This window comes from Homo sapiens, chromosome 7 (genome assembly GCF_000001405.40).
Source record: "Homo sapiens chromosome 7, GRCh38.p14 Primary Assembly".
NCBI classification, from domain to species: domain Eukaryota; kingdom Metazoa; phylum Chordata; class Mammalia; order Primates; family Hominidae; genus Homo; species Homo sapiens.
The window spans coordinates 132,212,689-132,230,819 of record NC_000007.14 but is presented as its reverse complement, the minus strand read 5'-3'; the positions used below and the strand labels follow the sequence as shown (position 1 = coordinate 132,230,819).

The following is an 18,131-nucleotide window of genomic DNA, read 5'->3' as shown; positions in this document are numbered from 1 at the left end:
TTTCAGACCTACTGATTGCTCTTAGAAATAGGAACTTCAAAGTTGGGGAGTCAGTGAATAATTTAAGCCCGTACCAGCTCTCTGGGTCTGCTGTTAATGGGAGTAATAACACTATTAATAGCGATGTCAGTGCAGACACTCTGGAAAAGTCCATAACATTAGCTTAATGGCTGAAGGTAATGGAGTCCTCGCAGAGGAGCTGGCCTGGTAAATTAACTTCCAAGTCTTTTAGGCAGACGCTCTTGTTGCCATCGGTCAGCTGGAGCAGCAAGGAAGTGCCACGGGGGTGACCACACTCATGCCTGATCCTTCACTCCTGGGAGGGGGTTTTCTAGAAGCACCCTGGAGAATTTATCTTCGTCCAACAAGTTGCAATAACACTCAAAGTGCTTCCCAGTGCCAGGCAAAAATAGCGATTAGCCTAGACAGAAAGATTGAGGGGAAAATGTTTGAATTGCCCTAAGGATATGAAGGGGGCATCAGGATGGCGAGAAGAACCAGCTTAGTCTGCAGCAAGGGGTCTGCCCCTTACTCCTCAGTCTGGAAGCTTCAGGAGGTAGAGCTCCGTAGGCTCTACAGGCCGCAGGGTGCGTCTTTGTCCCAACACATCCTGACAAGGTGGGGTTTGTTGCAGCATTGTTATGAGACTTAAACGCTAGACAATGTAAACTCCATATCATGTGCCTATTAATAAGCACTTGTACCTCGCAGCCATGAATGTACTGTTCAGGGGTGTTTTTTACTTTCGCATTGCACATCCAATCTACTCTGAAGTCCTTTGTTCTGTCCCTGTGTTCCTCCATTTATCCCATCCTTAGAGGGACAGCTTCAGTCCATGGCCTTCAATGATTTCTCCTTCATTTGCTAGATTCTCCTCTCAGGCTCTCCACCCAGGCTGCCCCTCTTGCTGTGGCCAAAGGTTAGGAGGAGAAACCCCCATAGCTTTCCCTAAGCCTGAGTTACCCCAATAGCAGCTCAGGGTGTCCAGGTACCCCCTTCCCTCATCTCCTTGCCCCACACCACACCTGTCTGCTTCCTGAGACAGTCGTTCCCTCTCCAAGGCTCCCTCCCCAAGGCTCCCTCCCCATGTAGATTCCCTATCCCTGGCTGTTCTGTGTCCTAATAAACTCCTTGCCTGGGGCTCTCTCCTGCCCTGCAACAGCTCCTGACATCTTCCTTCCTCTGCAAAATCTTTTCTCTTTAATCAAAAGAGATCAGCAACTCTGGAGTGATTTCCCTGCTGTCTCATCTCCTCTTGTCTTGTCCCTCCTGAGGACCCTGCTTGCCCCCACCCCACAACAGAATCTGTAGTCCAGAGTTTCCAAATCATGACCACTTGGTGAAGCCCCATGTCCACAAAGTTCACCTGACTTGGATTAAATACTGCTCCCTGAAATTCAGATGCCTCCATGCAGTGACCTCAAGTGATGCCTGCATTTCAGGAGAGTTCCATGTTTTTTACATGCATCTTTCACAAACCTTCATCAGCTAGGACTGCAAGATCCCAGGTCACACTGGACATGGTCCACTTGTGACACCATACACTTTACACAGCACAGAGCACTGAAGAGTAACAGCAAACCTTAGAGCCAGGATTCTGATCCAGAGCAAGCTTTTAACTACAGTTCTTAGCTCCTTTGATCCTTCCTTCCCTCTCTCCCACCTGCCTACATGAGGGGATTCTAAAATAAATGGAACATAGCTGCTTTTTTTGAAAAGCTCCTACTTGGCAGGAGAGGACTGCACTTAGCCCAATAATTGTCATACAATCTAAGAAATTCCAGACTTATTAAAGTAGGAGACTCCGAGGTGCTATGAGATCATAGGAGGAAGCTCTTCACTTTGCCTAGGGTGGGCAGGAGAGATTGCAGGTGCATCTTGAGCCATGGCTGGAAGAAAAAGTAGGAACTGGACAGGTGGAGAAGTGAGGAAAAGGAAGTCCAGCAGAAGAACTGGCATGTTCAAAGCCAAGGAGGTATATTTTCTATATGAAGAAAACAAATCTCTGGTTGCCTAAGGAGGAGAAGAGAATGGCAAGGGCTAAGGATGTGCAGAGAGGGTGAATAGACAGAACTGTGCAACACCTTATGTGAGTTTGGAGAGGATGAGGGGAGTTAGGATGACTCTCAAGTTTCTGCCTTTGGCAAGAGGTGATTGAAATTGCCATCTTTTCTAAATTTGGGAATGATGGAGGAGGACCAGGCTTGAGGAAGGACACAAAAAGGTTAGCTCTGGGCGCATTGAGTTTGGACACATCCTGGGAGCTGCTGGAAACACCTGACCTCAGCATCCGCCCCTCCCTGGACCAAGCGGCCATCTCCTGAGTAACTCGAGGGTATGTCCTTCCCAGTTGCACCCGGAAGGAGCGGTGTGAGCGGTCCAAGGAGCCCCGCAGGTTTGCCTCGGAGATGAAGCAGTGTGTCCGGCTGACGGTCCATCCCAACAATATCTCCGTCTCTCAGTACAACGTGCTGGTAAGGGTCGTGGGGGTTGGGGTGGGGTCCAGGGATGCAAGGAAAACTCTCCCCTCACTAAAAAGTGCCTTAGCCCAAGGCCCCTCTGGAGGACTGGGCCAAGCCCGGCCAGCAGAAGCAGCTCAAGAGAAGGGTGCAGGATATCAAAGAATTAAGTGTCTACGGGGGGATGCAAGAAGGAGACAGGGACAGGACTATTGGGGAAGAGGCTCTATTCATAAAGAGTAGAAAGACAGGGAGCACCATCACCAAAAATGACCAAAGGGTGACAAAGAATGACAAAGGGTGTTGGGAATGATATCTTCAACTATAAAATGGGAAAGATGCATGTACAGAGAGAGAAAGGGGCACAGGTGACTTCCAAGTTCCAGCACTGAGCACTTGGTGGTTGGTGTTTCTATTTTTCCAAAATTGGGCCTAATGGAAGAGGTGCTCCATCAGCCATGCCTCAGTCCTGATCAAAATGGCACCACGCAAATCCCTTAAGCATTCTTGTTTCCTGGGGCCAAATCCATTTCCATCCTAATGAGGTTTCTTTTGTCTCTGTCTCTTTGCATCTCACCACGGCCTCTGTGCCACTCTCCTAATAACCTGAGTCTCTTCTCCATGTTAATATTGCCTCTTGCTTGTCTTTGCTTTCCCTGTGATCTCTCTCACTCTCCCACTTTCTTTTTTTATTCCATACCTGTCCTTTTCCCATTTCACCCTCCTCCTTCTCTCCCCCCGCCTGGCTGTTCACAGCTGGTCCTGGAGACGTACAATGTCCCGGAGCTGTCAGCTGGCGTCAACTGCACCTTTGAGGACCTGTCAGAGATGGATGGGCTGGTCGTGGGCAATCAGATCCAGTGCTACTCCCCTGCAGCCAAGGAGGTGCCCCGGATCATCACAGAGAATGGTGAGCATCCCGGAGGCACAGCTGAGTGGCACTTCTTCCTCCTGGCTAGATAAGGAGAACTCAGGACAGATGTGGGGGGATCAAAGCAACCTGCAGGCAGGAGAGAGTCAGAGGAAGGGGCATGGGATGGTGGGTGTGTTATGGGAAGAGGGGGATGGGATCTCCCTCCATTGCCCTTGGCATTGACTGTTACAGCCCTTCTGTCTCAGCCCCAGGTTAGCCCCCAAGAGTCACCCTCATCCTGGGCAAGGAACAGCTGCAGAGAGGGTGGGGAGGGGCAGGCCAGGACAGCAGCAGAACATGTGGTTAAGTTCAGCCTGCACCACTGGCTTGGCGGGTCAGTGGAGGAGGCCACTGAGCTGGAGCAGGGATGCTCACATGGCCGATCTCTGACCCTGGACCACTGCCTCCCCAACTCTGCCCTACCGGGTCTCCCCAGAGCTGCCTGTTGTTGGGGGCAAGCTGCCCTGGGAAAGACAGGAGTGGGCAGAGGCTCCATGCTGGTGAGGGACAGGCCCAGCCTGGGCAGATTGATTCCATGTTGTCCCTCCCATTTGTGCTTGTCACATTTGTTCAGAGCTGATTGATTAATGAGGCTCTCAGGGAAGGCAAAGAACAAGGCTTGAAGTGGGGGCCTAGGGTCAGGGCTGTGAATTAAACATGGGCTGCAGCTCCTCCCTGGCACCAGATGAGGATTCCAGGGTCTCCCGCCCCGGTGGAGCCCTGAGCCCCCCAGAGGAAGTGGTGTCAGAACAGGGGCTCTCTTTACAGAGACAGGGAATGAGCTCATGCATACACACACATACATGCAAAACTTCTTGCGCAGTTTGTGGCAGCATTCCTAGATTCCTAGAAGTCTACATATGTGTTTCTCCTGGTTATGAATCAATTTTGTGAGTCTGGGCAGGACATCATGCATGCAAATGCACATTTGAATCCCTGGCAGTGTGCATCTGTGTGTGTACACATGGAAGAGTGGAAGTGATACGGTGGGCAGGGAGAATAGACAAGAACTGCCCTCTGCAGCTGCTCTCAGGGTTGTCCTGGGACTGGGTCTGCTGAGTCAGAGCCCTGTTAAGCCAACAGCCGCCTGGGGAGCAGGCTCCCTTTTCCAGCAGGTGTCACTGGTCAGGGAATCCCTGGCTTGGGGCCTCAGCATTCCCTGACCCCTCAGCCATCTCTCCTTGTAGGGGACCACCATGTCGTACAGCTTCAGCTCAAATCAAAGGAGACCGGCATGACCTTCGCCAGCACCAGCTTTGTCTTCTACAATTGCAGCGTCCACAATTCGTAAGTGGCCCCAGCCTTACCCACTTCCCGTTCCTGGGGTCAAGTTTCATCCAAAGATCAGAAAACCCCATCACTATTCCCAGGGAGTCACCATTTAGAAGCCCCAGAGGAGGCCTCCTTCACTCCCTCTCCTCTGGTACCCACAGGGAGTCACCATTTAGAAGCCCCAGAGGAGGCCTCCCTCACTCCCTCTCCTCTGGTACCCACAGGGTTAATGGAAAGAGACTAGAAGAGCAGAAAATGAGAACTTATGGAGTGGGGCTCTCCACATCCCTAGCGCATACATCTTCCCTGACATCAATCCTTCTAACTCAATTCCATCTCCACCATCTGTTGTGGGGTGGTGCATCCCACATGAAGAACAGAGAGCAAGCTCCATGGGCAGAGAAGGGAACTGAGGAGGGAGAGAAGCCCCAGTGTGTGTCCAGGATTGGGGCAAGTGGTCTAACCACTCAATTGCATGCTCAGCTCCCCACAGGCTGCCCAGGCTGAGTGCAGACAGGCTGGTAAGGGCCAGAGGGAGGCAGAAAGCTGTGGGGGGGGGCGGACTCTGGCTTAGGGGTCAGGAAGCCTGACTCCAACTCGAGCTTTGTTTGACTTAAGTATCCAACTTCCAGTGGCAGGTGGGGAGGGCCGAGGCTCTGGCTCTGTAGCCGGACCAGCTGAGAAGCTCAACCCTTCTGTGCCCCAGTGTCCTCTATCAACAGGGAAATCACAGTGCTCCTTCCAAGGGCGTCACACAAATATTTACCAACTGACGTGGCAGGAGCACTGTCCCATCTGAGCAGTCACTGGCTGGCACCCTGTGCTGGCTGCTAGCTCTGAATATCGGCTCTGCCTACCCTGCAGGACAGCCACAAGGGGTAAAAGGGCCATGCTAAGGAGAAGCATTTACAGCCATGTCTGGCCCAGTGTTTAGGCACCACATGTGTTCTTGCCATTATTATATTATCTTTTCTTTATCAAATAATGGGGTTGGACCAGGTTGTGAATGGGCCAGCCTTTTTTTTCTTCTCACCATAGAAATCTTAAACTGAAAGTAGGTGTGGATGCCCAATATACAGAATAGATGGAAGCAGGAGCTCCTCTGATTAAAGGTTGGGGGGCCTGGAACCCCTCTCCACAGAAGCCCCACAAAACTACACATTCTCCAAAGGAACTCCATGGGATCCCCAGAGTTCCACAGAGCAAACCGTGGGACCTGACCTCAAAAAACCCTGCTTGTTTTAACATACTCCTGTTTTGCCCTCCATGCATGATAGGTAGCTGACATGACCAGAGATCTAGGCTGGTGGAATTTTAGGGTCTATTGATCTGCTTATGGCAGCTGTGAGTCTAGAGCTTAGCTCTCTTTGGGGCCCCAAGTAAGAAGGCATCCGGCCCTCCCAGCCAAAAATGAGTTACTCTAGCCCTGGGACTCTCCTCTTGCCTCTTGCGGCAAAGCTGTCCCTGTCTTTACCACTCGGTGGCCTAATCCCTCCCTCCACTTTCCCCTCTGGGGAAGCAGAGTAAATAGGTGAAATCATGTGTGAAGCTTTCATTAAGCCCATAAAATGATTTTAAGCATCTCCCATGTGCAAGGGAATGTGTTGCTCATTAGACACAGTGGAGTCAAAAATCAATGCAACACAAAGACTCAATCCTTACCCTCCAGGAGTTGATGGCCTACAGACTAGTAGAGGAGCTGGACAGGTAATGGTGAGATATGACACAAGATGGCCAGGACTGTCCGAGAGATGTCAGCCAAGAGATTCACGGGAGAAGGGCCCAGGGTGACCAGCTCTTCCTTGGTCAAGCAGGTAGTCAGGTGGAGGACAGAAGAAATGGTGCTCTGGAGGGAGGAATGGCTTGTGGGGAGAGTGTGGCCTATTCGTGGCCAAAGCAACAAACCTGCGTTGGGGGCAGTGGTCATCTATACCGTGAAGGGCATAGCCTGTATGGAGAGGCATTTGAGTTTTTGGAAAAGGGAACCATGTTGGGCTTTTAAGGAGTCAGGAGCTCTTATAAAATTGTCTTGGTTTCCTGGGGTAAAGGGGAAAGGTGGGGTTGCCAACCATGGAGGAGCCATCGTAGTGAGACAGCAGCCTCAGTCACTTCCTCCTGAGGCAAGGTGCAGGTGGCTTCTCAGCAGCAGAGACCCGGAGTCAATTTGCATACAAACCTAATCTTTTGTTTGCCCCAACTCTTAGGTCTGTCTACACAAGCCCTCTGCTCCAGACCTTATCATTCCCTCTTTTGAAAAGGAGGATGTTATCCCATGGAGATGGAGGAGGGCTAATTTGGCCTTGGGGGAACGGGGTTGTCAGCTACATATGGGAAAGGGAGGAAACCAGAGACCATTAGCTTCCTGAGGTCTTGGGGAGTAAAGGGATAGATGTGCATAAGATCTGCCCTTCCTGCACATTCAACGGTGGTTTCTCTTAATACTAAAAATGTTTTGCTAGACCATAGAGACTCAAGCCCTCTGCTTTGGGCTCATCCAGGTTCTTAGATTTGTGCCTCCCTTCCCCTGTGCCCAGGTGCCTGTCCTGCGTGGAGAGTCCATACCGCTGCCACTGGTGTAAATACCGGCATGTCTGCACCCATGACCCCAAGACCTGCTCCTTCCAGGAAGGCCGAGTGAAGCTGCCCGAGGTAGGTCCCTGGCAGCCAGAGTGGTGAGTGTCTCTTGTTGTGAGCATGGGACACAGAAGAGAGGCATTCCCTTAAGAGGAGAAACCAAAGGAAAACTGTGCAGGACCACCCCCTTCTTCCTGGCTCTTAAGGGTCCACTTTATAAAAACAGGAAATATGCCAAGCTCTGTGCTGGGACTGTGGGTTCTGGATCAGCCCTGGAGGTTCTGTTACAGACAAAGGTGTATTCCAGGTCACTCCAACCAGAAGGATCCTCCACACACCAGGTGGGTCCTAGAAAGATTCCAAAGAGATGGGTGTGTTGGTGTGTCCTAGAAATAATTGTAAGTACACAGCAGGACTGTGTCCAGACTCCTCAGCTGTTCCTCAGGGCACTGTTCACAGAGGAGAAGTGAGACCCCCAAAGAGGGCAAGCTGAGTAAAAGGGAGAGAGATGAGAATGAAAGAATGGTCAGCTTGTGAGCTAGAGCGGTGGTTTTCAAAGCGTGGTTCCAAGACTAGCAGAATCTGCATCAGCTGAGAACTTGCTAGAAACACGAAGTCTTCTGTTCCACCCTAGGCCAACTGAATGAGAAGCTCCGGGGGCAGGGTGCAGCAACTTGGGCTTAAACAGGCCCTCCCAGTGGCTCTGATGCTCGGTCCAGGTTGAAGAATCGCTGAGATACTGTTTGGCTCTAAGGCTAAAATGTGACTTTTCTATTCCCTCTGAATTTTTATTCTTCTTGAACACTCATCCTCACTGTACCAAAAATACTTTCTGCCTATGCTGTTACCTGTCTTGGAATGTCAGAGTGTGGGCAAGGACTTCTGGGATAACAGGTATACCTCTGGAAAATTCTGTTGTTCAAACATGACAGTGTTTCTTGCACTCTCTCAGCCAATATTGGACTCAGCAGGCTCCAGCACCTTCACCTGCAACCCCTAGTCTTGCGTGTATCTTTCAGACCCCTTTAACACACCACACAGGTGTCATGACCATGTGGCCAGCCCCACAGCTGTGAGAGAAGGGACCTGTCCAGGTGCAGGAAGCATAGGGGATTTGGTGGGGGGAGGGGGGCAGGAGGGGCATTGAGAGAACACACAGGCCCATCAAGTGCCCTCCCCATCCCAGACTCATACCCCACTAAGAATCCTACCTTTGGCCAAACCCTCATGGGAGGAGAGAAGCTGTTTATTATATGAGGCTGAAAGGGAAGGTCAATGTACACCCCACACTAACACCTGCTGCATGGGGGCTCCCATAGCACGGTGGGTAGTGACTGCACTGTGCTTAGCCATCAGAAAATCCCGGCCCAAATCCCGTTTTGCCCGAATCCTGATGGCTGAGCAGGAGTTCTACAGGTGGACAGTAAGCAGGGTGATTGATTTTAGAAGTAAAAGCAAGGAGTGGAGATGTTGTCTGGAGAGAGGATGATCCTGATTGAGTAACAGACAAGGGGAGCAAACAAGAAAGAAAGAGTAGAAATTTGAAAACCTTCATTAAGATAATGAAATGACTTGGGGCCTTTGGAAGCCTCCACATAGCTCAAATGTTTTGATTGCATTTTATTCTTGGACCTCCTTGCTAGATAAAACCTTTGCTAGATACACTAGTCTGGAAAGCTGGAGAGAGGCTGAAAACCTTTGTCTCAGCTCCCATGAAGTTCCTTGCAAGTTTCAGACAGAAAAAAGAAGAGATTATGGAAGCCTCAGACACAAAACCAACTCCCTCTCTGTGGGAATCTGTTCATGCCTGGAAATAGCTACTATGGATTCACAGTCAGGAAAAGAGACCCTGGCTGAGATTGTCCCTTTATAGGGAAAGGGAGGAGAGTGGTTGCATCTTGGATTTTATGTAAGAGTGTGAATCTCATACTTATGTGTCAGTTCTCTACTTTAACAAAGACAACATGGATATAAAGGTAATAAGAATGAGGTGAGTCAGACAGCAAGGGCATGTCCTTGATAAAAGGCTGCACAGTCTCATCAGCCTGGCCAGGCCTGTCTCAGGGTGTGGTTTCAGGAGCAGAAGGACTGGTTGACCTACCAAGGCTGGGGACAGGGATGTGAGAAGAATCCTTTTCTTGTTCTGGTCTGAAACCTGCAAATAACTTGATGGGAGTTGAGACAAAGTGGTCCTCAGCTTCTCTCCAGCTTTCCAGACTGCCATATCTGGCAGAGGTTCTATGTGCGGAGAGGCCCAAGAGTAAACTGAAAGCAAAAACAATTGAGCTAGCTGGTGGATTTTGAAGGCCTCTAATCATTTAATTACCTTGCAAGAAGCTTTTGCATTTCTGCTTTTTCTTTCTTGTTTGCTCTTCTTGTACCAAATTTCTTTCTTTTAAGTATAGAAGAGGAGCCTCCTTCTGTTGCTCAGAAAGAGGGAAAAAGAACCAGAAGGGAATAAAATAAGGCCAGGCGTGGTAGTACCAGCACTTTGGCAGGCCAAGGTGGGAGGATCACTTGAGTCCAGGAGTTCAAGACCAGTCAGGACAACATAGTAAACTCTCCCCAATAGAAAAATATTTTTATTTTTCTACAAAAAATAAAAGTAAGTAAGTAAGTAAGTAAGCTGGGCATGGCGATGCCTGTCTGTAGTCCCAGCTACTTGAGAGGCTGAGATGGGAGGATTGCTTGAGCCTGGGAGATTGAGGCTGCAGTGAGCCATGAGCAAGCCACTACACTCTAGCCTGGGCAACAGAGCAAGATCCTGTCTCAAAAAAAAAAAAAAAAAAAAGAATAAAATAAGAGCCCACCATGTGTCCCAGGGCAATGCAGAGATCCCTTTAGAAGAATGATGGCTTCAAGCACCCAGACTCCAAGCCAGGTGGGAAACCCCTCTATACCTGACACAAGCAAAGACTGCTGGGGATTCACAGCATCTCAGAGGATGGGATGCCAGGGCCCCGGAGAAAGGAATTAGTCTGGAGGAAATGGCCGAGAGAAGGATATGGAGCTGTATGTACTAAGCTCTTGCTGCCATACTGAAATCCTCTCCATTTCCCATGAGCCATAGTATGGTGAGCCTGGCAGGCCATGGCAGGGAGGGGCTCTGGGGTAGTTTGGAATCGCCCATGCCTCCCTTATCACATGGAATACATTTTGGCTCCTCTTTACCTTGGATGTTTATTTATTCTAAGAAAAGGAAGCTCTAATGGGGAGCTTCTGGTCTAGGTTTGGAGGCTGCATTCTACCCAGCTCAATCCCAGGGCCATTTTGAATGTGAGCATAGAGGTGAACCAGAGTTGGCCACCTGGCGATGGTTGTTGTAGCATCTTCCTAGTGAATGTGGCAAAGAGGAAACAAGTAAAGAAGTATGTGTGGACTACTGACTGACTCCAGCCATTTGGGGTCAGTGAAAGGAGGTCATTGTCCTCAGAACTCAAAAGACAGTTCCTGGCTGCTAGTGTAAATATGAGGATTTTTTTATGTTGTTGTTTTGTTTTGCTTGCTATATTTTTACATTCTATATGTACTTATTTTAGCAATATACAGTCATGGGCTGCTTATTGTTGGGGATGCCCTCTGAGAAATGTGTCATTAGGCAATTTTGTCATTGTGCGAACATCATAGGGTGTACTTATGCAGACCTATGTGCTGTAGCTTACTGCACACCTAGGCTATATGGCATAGCCTATTGCCCCTAGGCTACACACCTGTACAGCAGGTAACTGTACTGAATACTGCAGCCAATTATAACACGATGGGAAGTATTTGGGTATCTAAACACATCTGAACATAGAAAAAGCATGGTAAAAACACAATATTATAATCTTATGAGACTTCTGCTCTATATATATAGTTTGTCATTGACTGAAACATCCCTCTGTGGAACATTACTGTATATTTTTCTGGGAAGATATAGTAGCAGGAGTAGGGGGTAAAAAAAAACTACCCAATTAAAAGGTGATTTTGTGGAAGCCCCCAGACACCTATGTCCTGTCACCACTCTAGGGGAAGAGCTTACTCACAGCACGATAATCTGAAGTTTTGTTATGATTTAACTCTTCATTCTTCATTACCCTAAGCATTTCAACCATACTCAAGGCATTGTGAGAGGTTTAAAGGTGAAGAAGATCTATGGAGATCTGTGTTTAGAGATCTGTAAAATGAGGCCTTTGGTCTACATCATCTCTAAAGTTCTGTCATTGTAAGTAGAAAGCAGCTGGAAAGCCCCCAAGATAAATCCATGCCCAAAAAGTGGTCAGGGGGGCTGGCGATTATAGAGTGAGTGTCAAGTCAAGGCTTAGGTCGACCACCTTTACCTAACAGGGTGACCCATACCCTCAGGGCCTGCAGTTCCACTGAACGTCCAGCCCAAGGCCCACTCTCTTGGAATGAAGGTATACCCAGGCCCTGGTGACTCTTCTGCAAATCTCTGGGGTTTTCATTTCCTTTTACCCTTTGAGTGAGGGGATGCAGACAGTGTCCTTTTGTTAGCTAACAGTGAGGCTGACAGGTGGCTTTTCATCTACCCGGCACCATCTTGCATCTCAGGAATGCTTTCATCTGTGCGTCTTCCATTTCAACAGTAGCTTTGTTGACTATCAGGGATATTGAATTACCTTTTTTTTTTCCTGAACAAAGAATGCGTTCAGGTGAAGTTATTGGACTGGAACAGAGAACTGGTCAATCATTGTTGTTATTATATTAATGGCAAGTATTCTACCATAATTACAATTATTAGAAATAGAATGCCCAATAACATATGTTGTTTATAGTAACTATATTCCAGTTACAAAGAATGATTTTGTTTCAACTAATGATGGCATTATGATAACAGCCCTGGGCCTTCAGATCAGCTGCCAGAGCCTTGGGTAGCCATTAACAAAGCCATGCCCACCCCTCTACTGAGCAGGAGCAGCCACTGGTCCCCAGGTGGTTTTGGAATCCATCCCCAGCTCCTCCACAGGCCAACCTGGACCTCCCATCAGGCATTCACACTTAAAGATGATGCTTGAGGAACAAAGGTGAACTTCCTTGCAAAAGCAAATCCATTGGCAAGAATTTGTCCTTGATGGACTATTTTGCTGTTTTTTCTCATCTAAACTGAAAAGCAAAGTGAGCTGCTGCTGAAGCTGTATTCTCTGGGCACCAGACTAGAGAGGCTTTGCAAGGAGGGCAAAGCACATCTGGCCCCCAGGTGTGCAAGCTCACCAAGGAGGCTCTCAGGAACGCCTCTTCTCTTGAAGTTCAACCAGCCTGCCTACTCCAGAGAATAGTTGTAAGATCAGAGGAGGCAAAATGAATTCTATTTGATTTGCAAAGCTGTGTTTGAAAGCTTCTCCCAACATCCCCTAATACCCCAACACCCCTGAAAAGAAATTCAGAGCCAGGATGAAATCCGTTATCAAAAGGATCAAGTCCTCTCCAGGACTGAAGAGCCGGCAAGGCCGAGAAAGTCCTAGCTCATGGGCTGCCGCTTGCCCCTGGTGCTGAAATAAGCCCCATGCCCTGAGACAGGAGCAGACCAAGGGCATTGACCCACCGACTGGACTCTGGAGGGAAATCACCAACCTACTTTGTCAGCAATTCTGCTTCCCTTCTTGCAGGGAAGGCATTCCTGGGATCCAACCCAAGGGAACCAAACCACCCCTGCCATGCCTTTCACCCTGCTGTGAAAAAAAAAAAAAAAAAAAAAAAAAAAAAAGCAAATCCAGCTACAGAACACGCTCCCCACCCATGCACCACCCCCACTCCAGGTATTCAATTACTGGGTTGCCATTCCTCCAGACAACTGCACTTTCCATCAATCTTGCCTGCCCCTCCCCACTTCAGGTTATGGGTATTTCCTTTTTATATTATTACTTTGCTCTCTCTATGAACCAGCCTGTCATAGATCACACTAATGACATTATAAACTTGGGGAACAGCAAGAAAATATATGATGCGTTACATTTTTGTATTGGGCACTGTGGTTCTGAGAAGGTGAGTATAAATTTGGAGGGTTGGTTGGGGTTAGGGCTGGCTTGTCTTTGGGACTGATGAAGGCTGAGGTGACTTGGACAGAGGAGAGGTGACCTGCAAATCATTTCTTCCTTAGCTTCCCCAGGTCCCTGTTCTTCCCTAGAGCTCTGTTTTCCCCAATCTTGCTGTAACAATAGGAGAATTAAAGCCCTCATTTTGTAAACACACTAGGGGCTATAAATTCAAGGGCCTATCCCCCCAGTCTGTAGGCAGCACCAGCCCTGAAGGCAGCCTTTTCTCTCCCAGCTAGGCTGCATTCTTTATGTCCTTGTTCAATTATTTAAATATGCAATGAAGCCTCTGTATAAAGCAGTCACTAACGTGCTGGACATGGTGGATAGAAAGTCATCATTCTCGCTTTTATACTTTGGCTTCGTGTTCCTGCCCTCTGCAATTAGCAGTGCGATTTGTATTTTGTGTGCATTTCAGTGGAGACCAAAATGTGCATGGGGCTGGACAGTTGACCTGGAGCTCGCTGGAGTCACCTCCTGAATGCCAGGCCTTTAAAGGTGTGCTTGTGCCTCGAGCTGCTGCCACTTCTCACCCCCCTGCATTCTTAGAACTGCAGAATGTAGCCACAGGCAAAACAGCCTCCGAGGGAGTTGGGTTCTTTTGGCATGCATGTGTCTCCAAAGAATCTTATTAAATACAGGTGTTTTCCATCCTCCAAAAGCTGGCCCTTTCAAATCATAGTTCAGAGATACGGCTTGCCTCAAAAGAGAAGGGCAGTATGTTTTTGAGGAGTTTTGGGTGGAAGCTGGATCATCATCTGTGGATAAAGGTCAGTACGGTGATTGGGTGAAAATACTGTGCTCATCATTGCCATGGGCAGAGTGACGTAAACGGTGTCCTTAGTGTCTTTATCTAGAACATAGGAGTGATCTTATATGTGTTTGTGCATGTGTGTCTGTGTGTGTGTCTGAAACAATATAGCACATGGAAAATATGTGGAAGGGGATGGAGGTAGTGGAATGGACACTGAATTGAATGCTTGTACCAAGTTAACCATGTTAATTAGAATCACAGCAGTATCCCATGCTGCCTATCAGAGCCAGTTGCTCAACTGGACAACCATACCAGGTTGCAACGTACCAATTATTAAAATATTAAAACATGTCCCTGCTGATAGGTGAAGAGCCGCCCCTTGGAGGCCCACCTCCCCCATGCCTTCAGTATTCATTCACTGGTTTGCTGAATGCCACATTTTGAGCTAGTTTTGCAGGTATTATTATCCCCATTTTAGAGGTGGGAAAACTGAGCTTCAAAAAGATCATACAATTATATATTCCAGATTATCAGCTATTAATAGTGGATAGAACTGGGACTAAAAGGAAAACAAACCGTTCTTCTCTATGCTTAACACAATAGCAAATGCGTGGGGCTTTTTTCTACACCAAGCAATTCTCCAATCCTCTGCAGAAACCACTTGGGTAGCCTAGAACTCAATTCATTTCTGACACTACCTGCCCAGAGTGAGCATTGGATCTCACAAGTTAAAGGGCTGAGTCCCAAAAGACTGTCTCCACTTCAGATGCCAATTGCAAATCTGAGGTTGTCACCTGCAGTTCTGACCCACCAGTTATAAGTCAGGGGCTCCCACAATCCCCTCCTCAGATTGGATAATTTGTTATAACAGCTCACAAAACTCGGGGAAACATTTACTTACGTTTACTAGTTTCTTTAAAAGGGTGTTGCAAAGGATACAGATAAACAGCCAGATGCAGCAGTGCCTACAGCAAGGTATGGGAAGGGGCATAGAACTTCCTTGTCCTCTCTGGACACCACCCTGTCAGCATCGCCACCTGTTCACCACCAGGGAAGCTCTCCCAACCCCTTCACTTAGGGTGTTGATGGAGGCTGATTTACATAGGCATGATTGATTAAACCATTGCCCACTGATGGTTGAACTCAATCACCAGCCCCTCTCCCTTCCCCAGAGGAGAGGGCTGAAGTGCCATCCTCTAATTACATGTGTGGATCCTCTGGCAACATACCCCCATCCTCCAGGAGTCACCTCATGAACATAAACTCAGGTATAGTGGAAAAGGGCTTGCTGTGAATAACAAAAGATGCTCCTTTTCCACCAATCATTCAGAAAACTCCAAAGGTTTTAGAAGCACCGTGCCAGCAGCCAGAGGAAAAGACCCAATATATATTTCTGATGTCACAATATTCCAGGGACTACACAATTCATCGAATCCAAACCAATCCCTTCATTTTATGAATAAAGAGACTCAGAGGGTTTGAGGGGCTTGCCCAAGGCCAAATGGCTGGCAGATCTCCTGTCTCATAGCACATGGAGCATGCAACTTTACAATGTCACTTCCCAGAAGTGGAGGCTGCTGTTCAGGGAGCAGTGGCCAGAACTGGGACCTCCCTGCCAGTCCCCCTTGTGTTTGGGACACTTAGAGCTATTTAAGTTAGGCAGAGTTATCCTAAGATGTGAAGCCCAGAGGAGTGGAATAAGCTGGGTGGGAACTGCTGGGGTATTTGCAGAAAATTACATGGAGGCAGGAGCAAGGGAGATGGGTCTTTTGGAAATGAGGTGGAAAAAGGGAGCAGATGAGGGACAAGACGCAACCTGGGTTGGGAGGAAAGAGGAGGAAAGAACAAACATTTGCTGAATGTCCACTCACCCCGGACCAGACGCTTTATATGTGTTAGTTTATGGAATCCCCAAAATGGTCATTTGGGAGAGGAATTTTCAGTCCCTAGTCATGGTTAAGCCAAGCAATGGTGAGAGCACTTGTTCAAGACTCTGAAACTAGCCGAGGAGTGGGGAGACAGACTTGTTCTCACAGTTACAGGATTCCCAGCCAGACTCCTGCTGGGTGAGAAGCCTTCAAGGTGAAGATAAAGGTCTGGGTGCCCTGAGTCCCTGGGCCATGAAACAGGGCCTCGGGCTCACATCCTGGAGGAACATGAAAGTTTATCCGAAGTTGCCCTGGAGTGTCAGATCTGTAGGTGATTTTGCATCTGGAATCTCAGCGCGGGGCAGGTCAGGATCTGGGATGCTGGGGTGGGAGGAAGGGGCAGGGTGGTGGAAGTGGTCCCTTCATGCCTTGGTGCCTAGGGAGAAATTGCCGTTTTACATTTCAATTAGGAGGGACACTGGGGTCAATCAGCAGCGCCACTAGAGGAAAATGTGCCCAGCCCAGCCCTGGGCCTCTCCAGTTATTATTAATGAACTTACTCTCAGAGCTGCCAACCTTTTTATATGCAAACTAGGCCTTTATGGGGCTACCGATAATCAGGACTCATTAGAGAACTCATCACAAGCCTCACTAAGAATCTTACAGGGGACGTGGGAGACAGGTTTTGCTGCTCCCCATGTCTTGGACAAGAACAGTCCAGCCCCCAGGCAGGGTTCCAGCCCAGCTCCGGAGGGTTTCACAGCTCCGAGTCCCCTGGACTTCAGGGGGACCCCTGCTGACTGACCAGCCCATCCTGAGGTGGTCCTGCCCACTGGTGGGAACTCTCCTGTTTCATGAAGGGCAGAAACTTGGTGACTCAGGCAGTTGGCATCTGAGTTCTTCAGCTACCAGCTCATCTGCTGATACTGAGCCCTTCTTTCTGCTCTCCTTGCCTCAGTTTCTCCTTTGCAAAATAGATGGGGTCCATGAGGGTAGTCAGAGGATTCTGAGATTCCCATACCCTCAGGGCCTCATTTCTCAGTGGCAACATGTGGATGGCGGGAGGTGGTGGGAAGAGATTCCAGGGCCTCCTGGCTCTCACTCCCAGTGCGACCAGATCTGATTCCCTCCAGGGACTGTGGCAGGAGAGACAGTCAGGCTCCTTGCTGCTTCAGGGGAGGGAAAGCTGCCCAGGGCTCAGGCAGAGGGAGGGTGGAGTCTAGTGGAGCCTGGACTCACAGCAACCCCATTCTCAAGGATCTGCTCTCCTCGAGCTGCCAACATCACTCTCCTCCCGCCCCAGTTCTGAGCTCCATCATTTTCACAAATCGCTTCTTTCCTCTGTGTGCCACATTCCCACCTTGCTAGAGTAGCGGCTGTGGTGGGGGGCACAGGATGGAGCTGCTAAGACTCTCCCCAAGTGGCTACTGGCGTCTCCAGAGACCCACACACTGTAGAGCCTCAGACCACATGCAAGGTGAAGGCCAAGACCAAGGCCCCTGTTCTCTTCCTGCTGGCCCGCCTGCCTGCTGCTCCTCTTCATTGTTTTATAATTGTGGCAAAATACACATATCATAACATTTACCATCTGAACCGGTTTTAAGGATATAGTTCAGTGGCGTTAAGTACATTTCACATTGTTGTACAGCTGTCACCACCATCCCCAACTGAGGCTCTGTTCCCATCAAACAACTACCCATCCTGCCTCCCCTTAGACATCACCATTCTACTTTCTGTCTCTATGAATTTGACTGCTCAAGGGACCTCCCACAAGTGGAACCCTGCAGTATTTGCCATTTTGTGGCTGGCTTATTTCACTGAGCATAATGTCCCCAAGGTTCATCCATGTTATAGCAGAGTTTCCTCCCTTTTTAAGGCTGAGTAATATTCCATTGTATGAATAGGCCACATTTTGTTTACCCATTCATTCCTCAGTGAACACCTGGGTTGCTTCTACCTTTTGGCTGTTGTGAATGATGCTGTTGTGAACATGGGTGTGCAGATTTCTGAGTCCTTGTTTTCAGTTCCTCTGGGCACGTAAACCCAGGAGTGGAATTTCTGGATCTGCGGCTCCTCTTTCAGCTGCCCTTCAGGATAAAGGTGTGAGCAGCCTGTAGGGGTGTGGGAGGAGGGATTAGTTTAATGGGCCTGGGGCACTCCCATGAAACAAGGCTCCACTGCTGGTCCATCTGTGGACCATGGTCTTGCTCCTCCAGCTTCCTCTCTGTCTCCTAGCTTCCCTTATAGCTTTCTCTCTCC

General features: G+C 48.8%; 1 protein-coding gene across 8 annotated transcripts in view; it reads left to right on the top strand.

Annotated features, from left to right (window-relative positions):
* The window catches only part of PLXNA4 (plexin A4), a 525,349-nt gene that overhangs the window by 417,869 nt on the left and 89,349 nt on the right, over positions 1-18,131 (top strand). For all 8 annotated transcript variants that reach the window (XR_927546.3, NM_001393897.1, XM_017012779.1 and 5 more), the window contains 4 exons: positions 2,351-2,474; positions 3,216-3,369; positions 4,560-4,659; positions 7,179-7,293. Coding sequence is in view for 7 of the 8 variants with exons in the window: in NM_001393897.1 (NP_001380826.1) it covers positions 2,351-2,474; positions 3,216-3,369; positions 4,560-4,659; positions 7,179-7,293 (493 nt within the window). In the remaining variant the exon portion in view is untranslated. The remainder of the gene's footprint in view (positions 1-2,350; positions 2,475-3,215; positions 3,370-4,559; positions 4,660-7,178; positions 7,294-18,131) is intronic.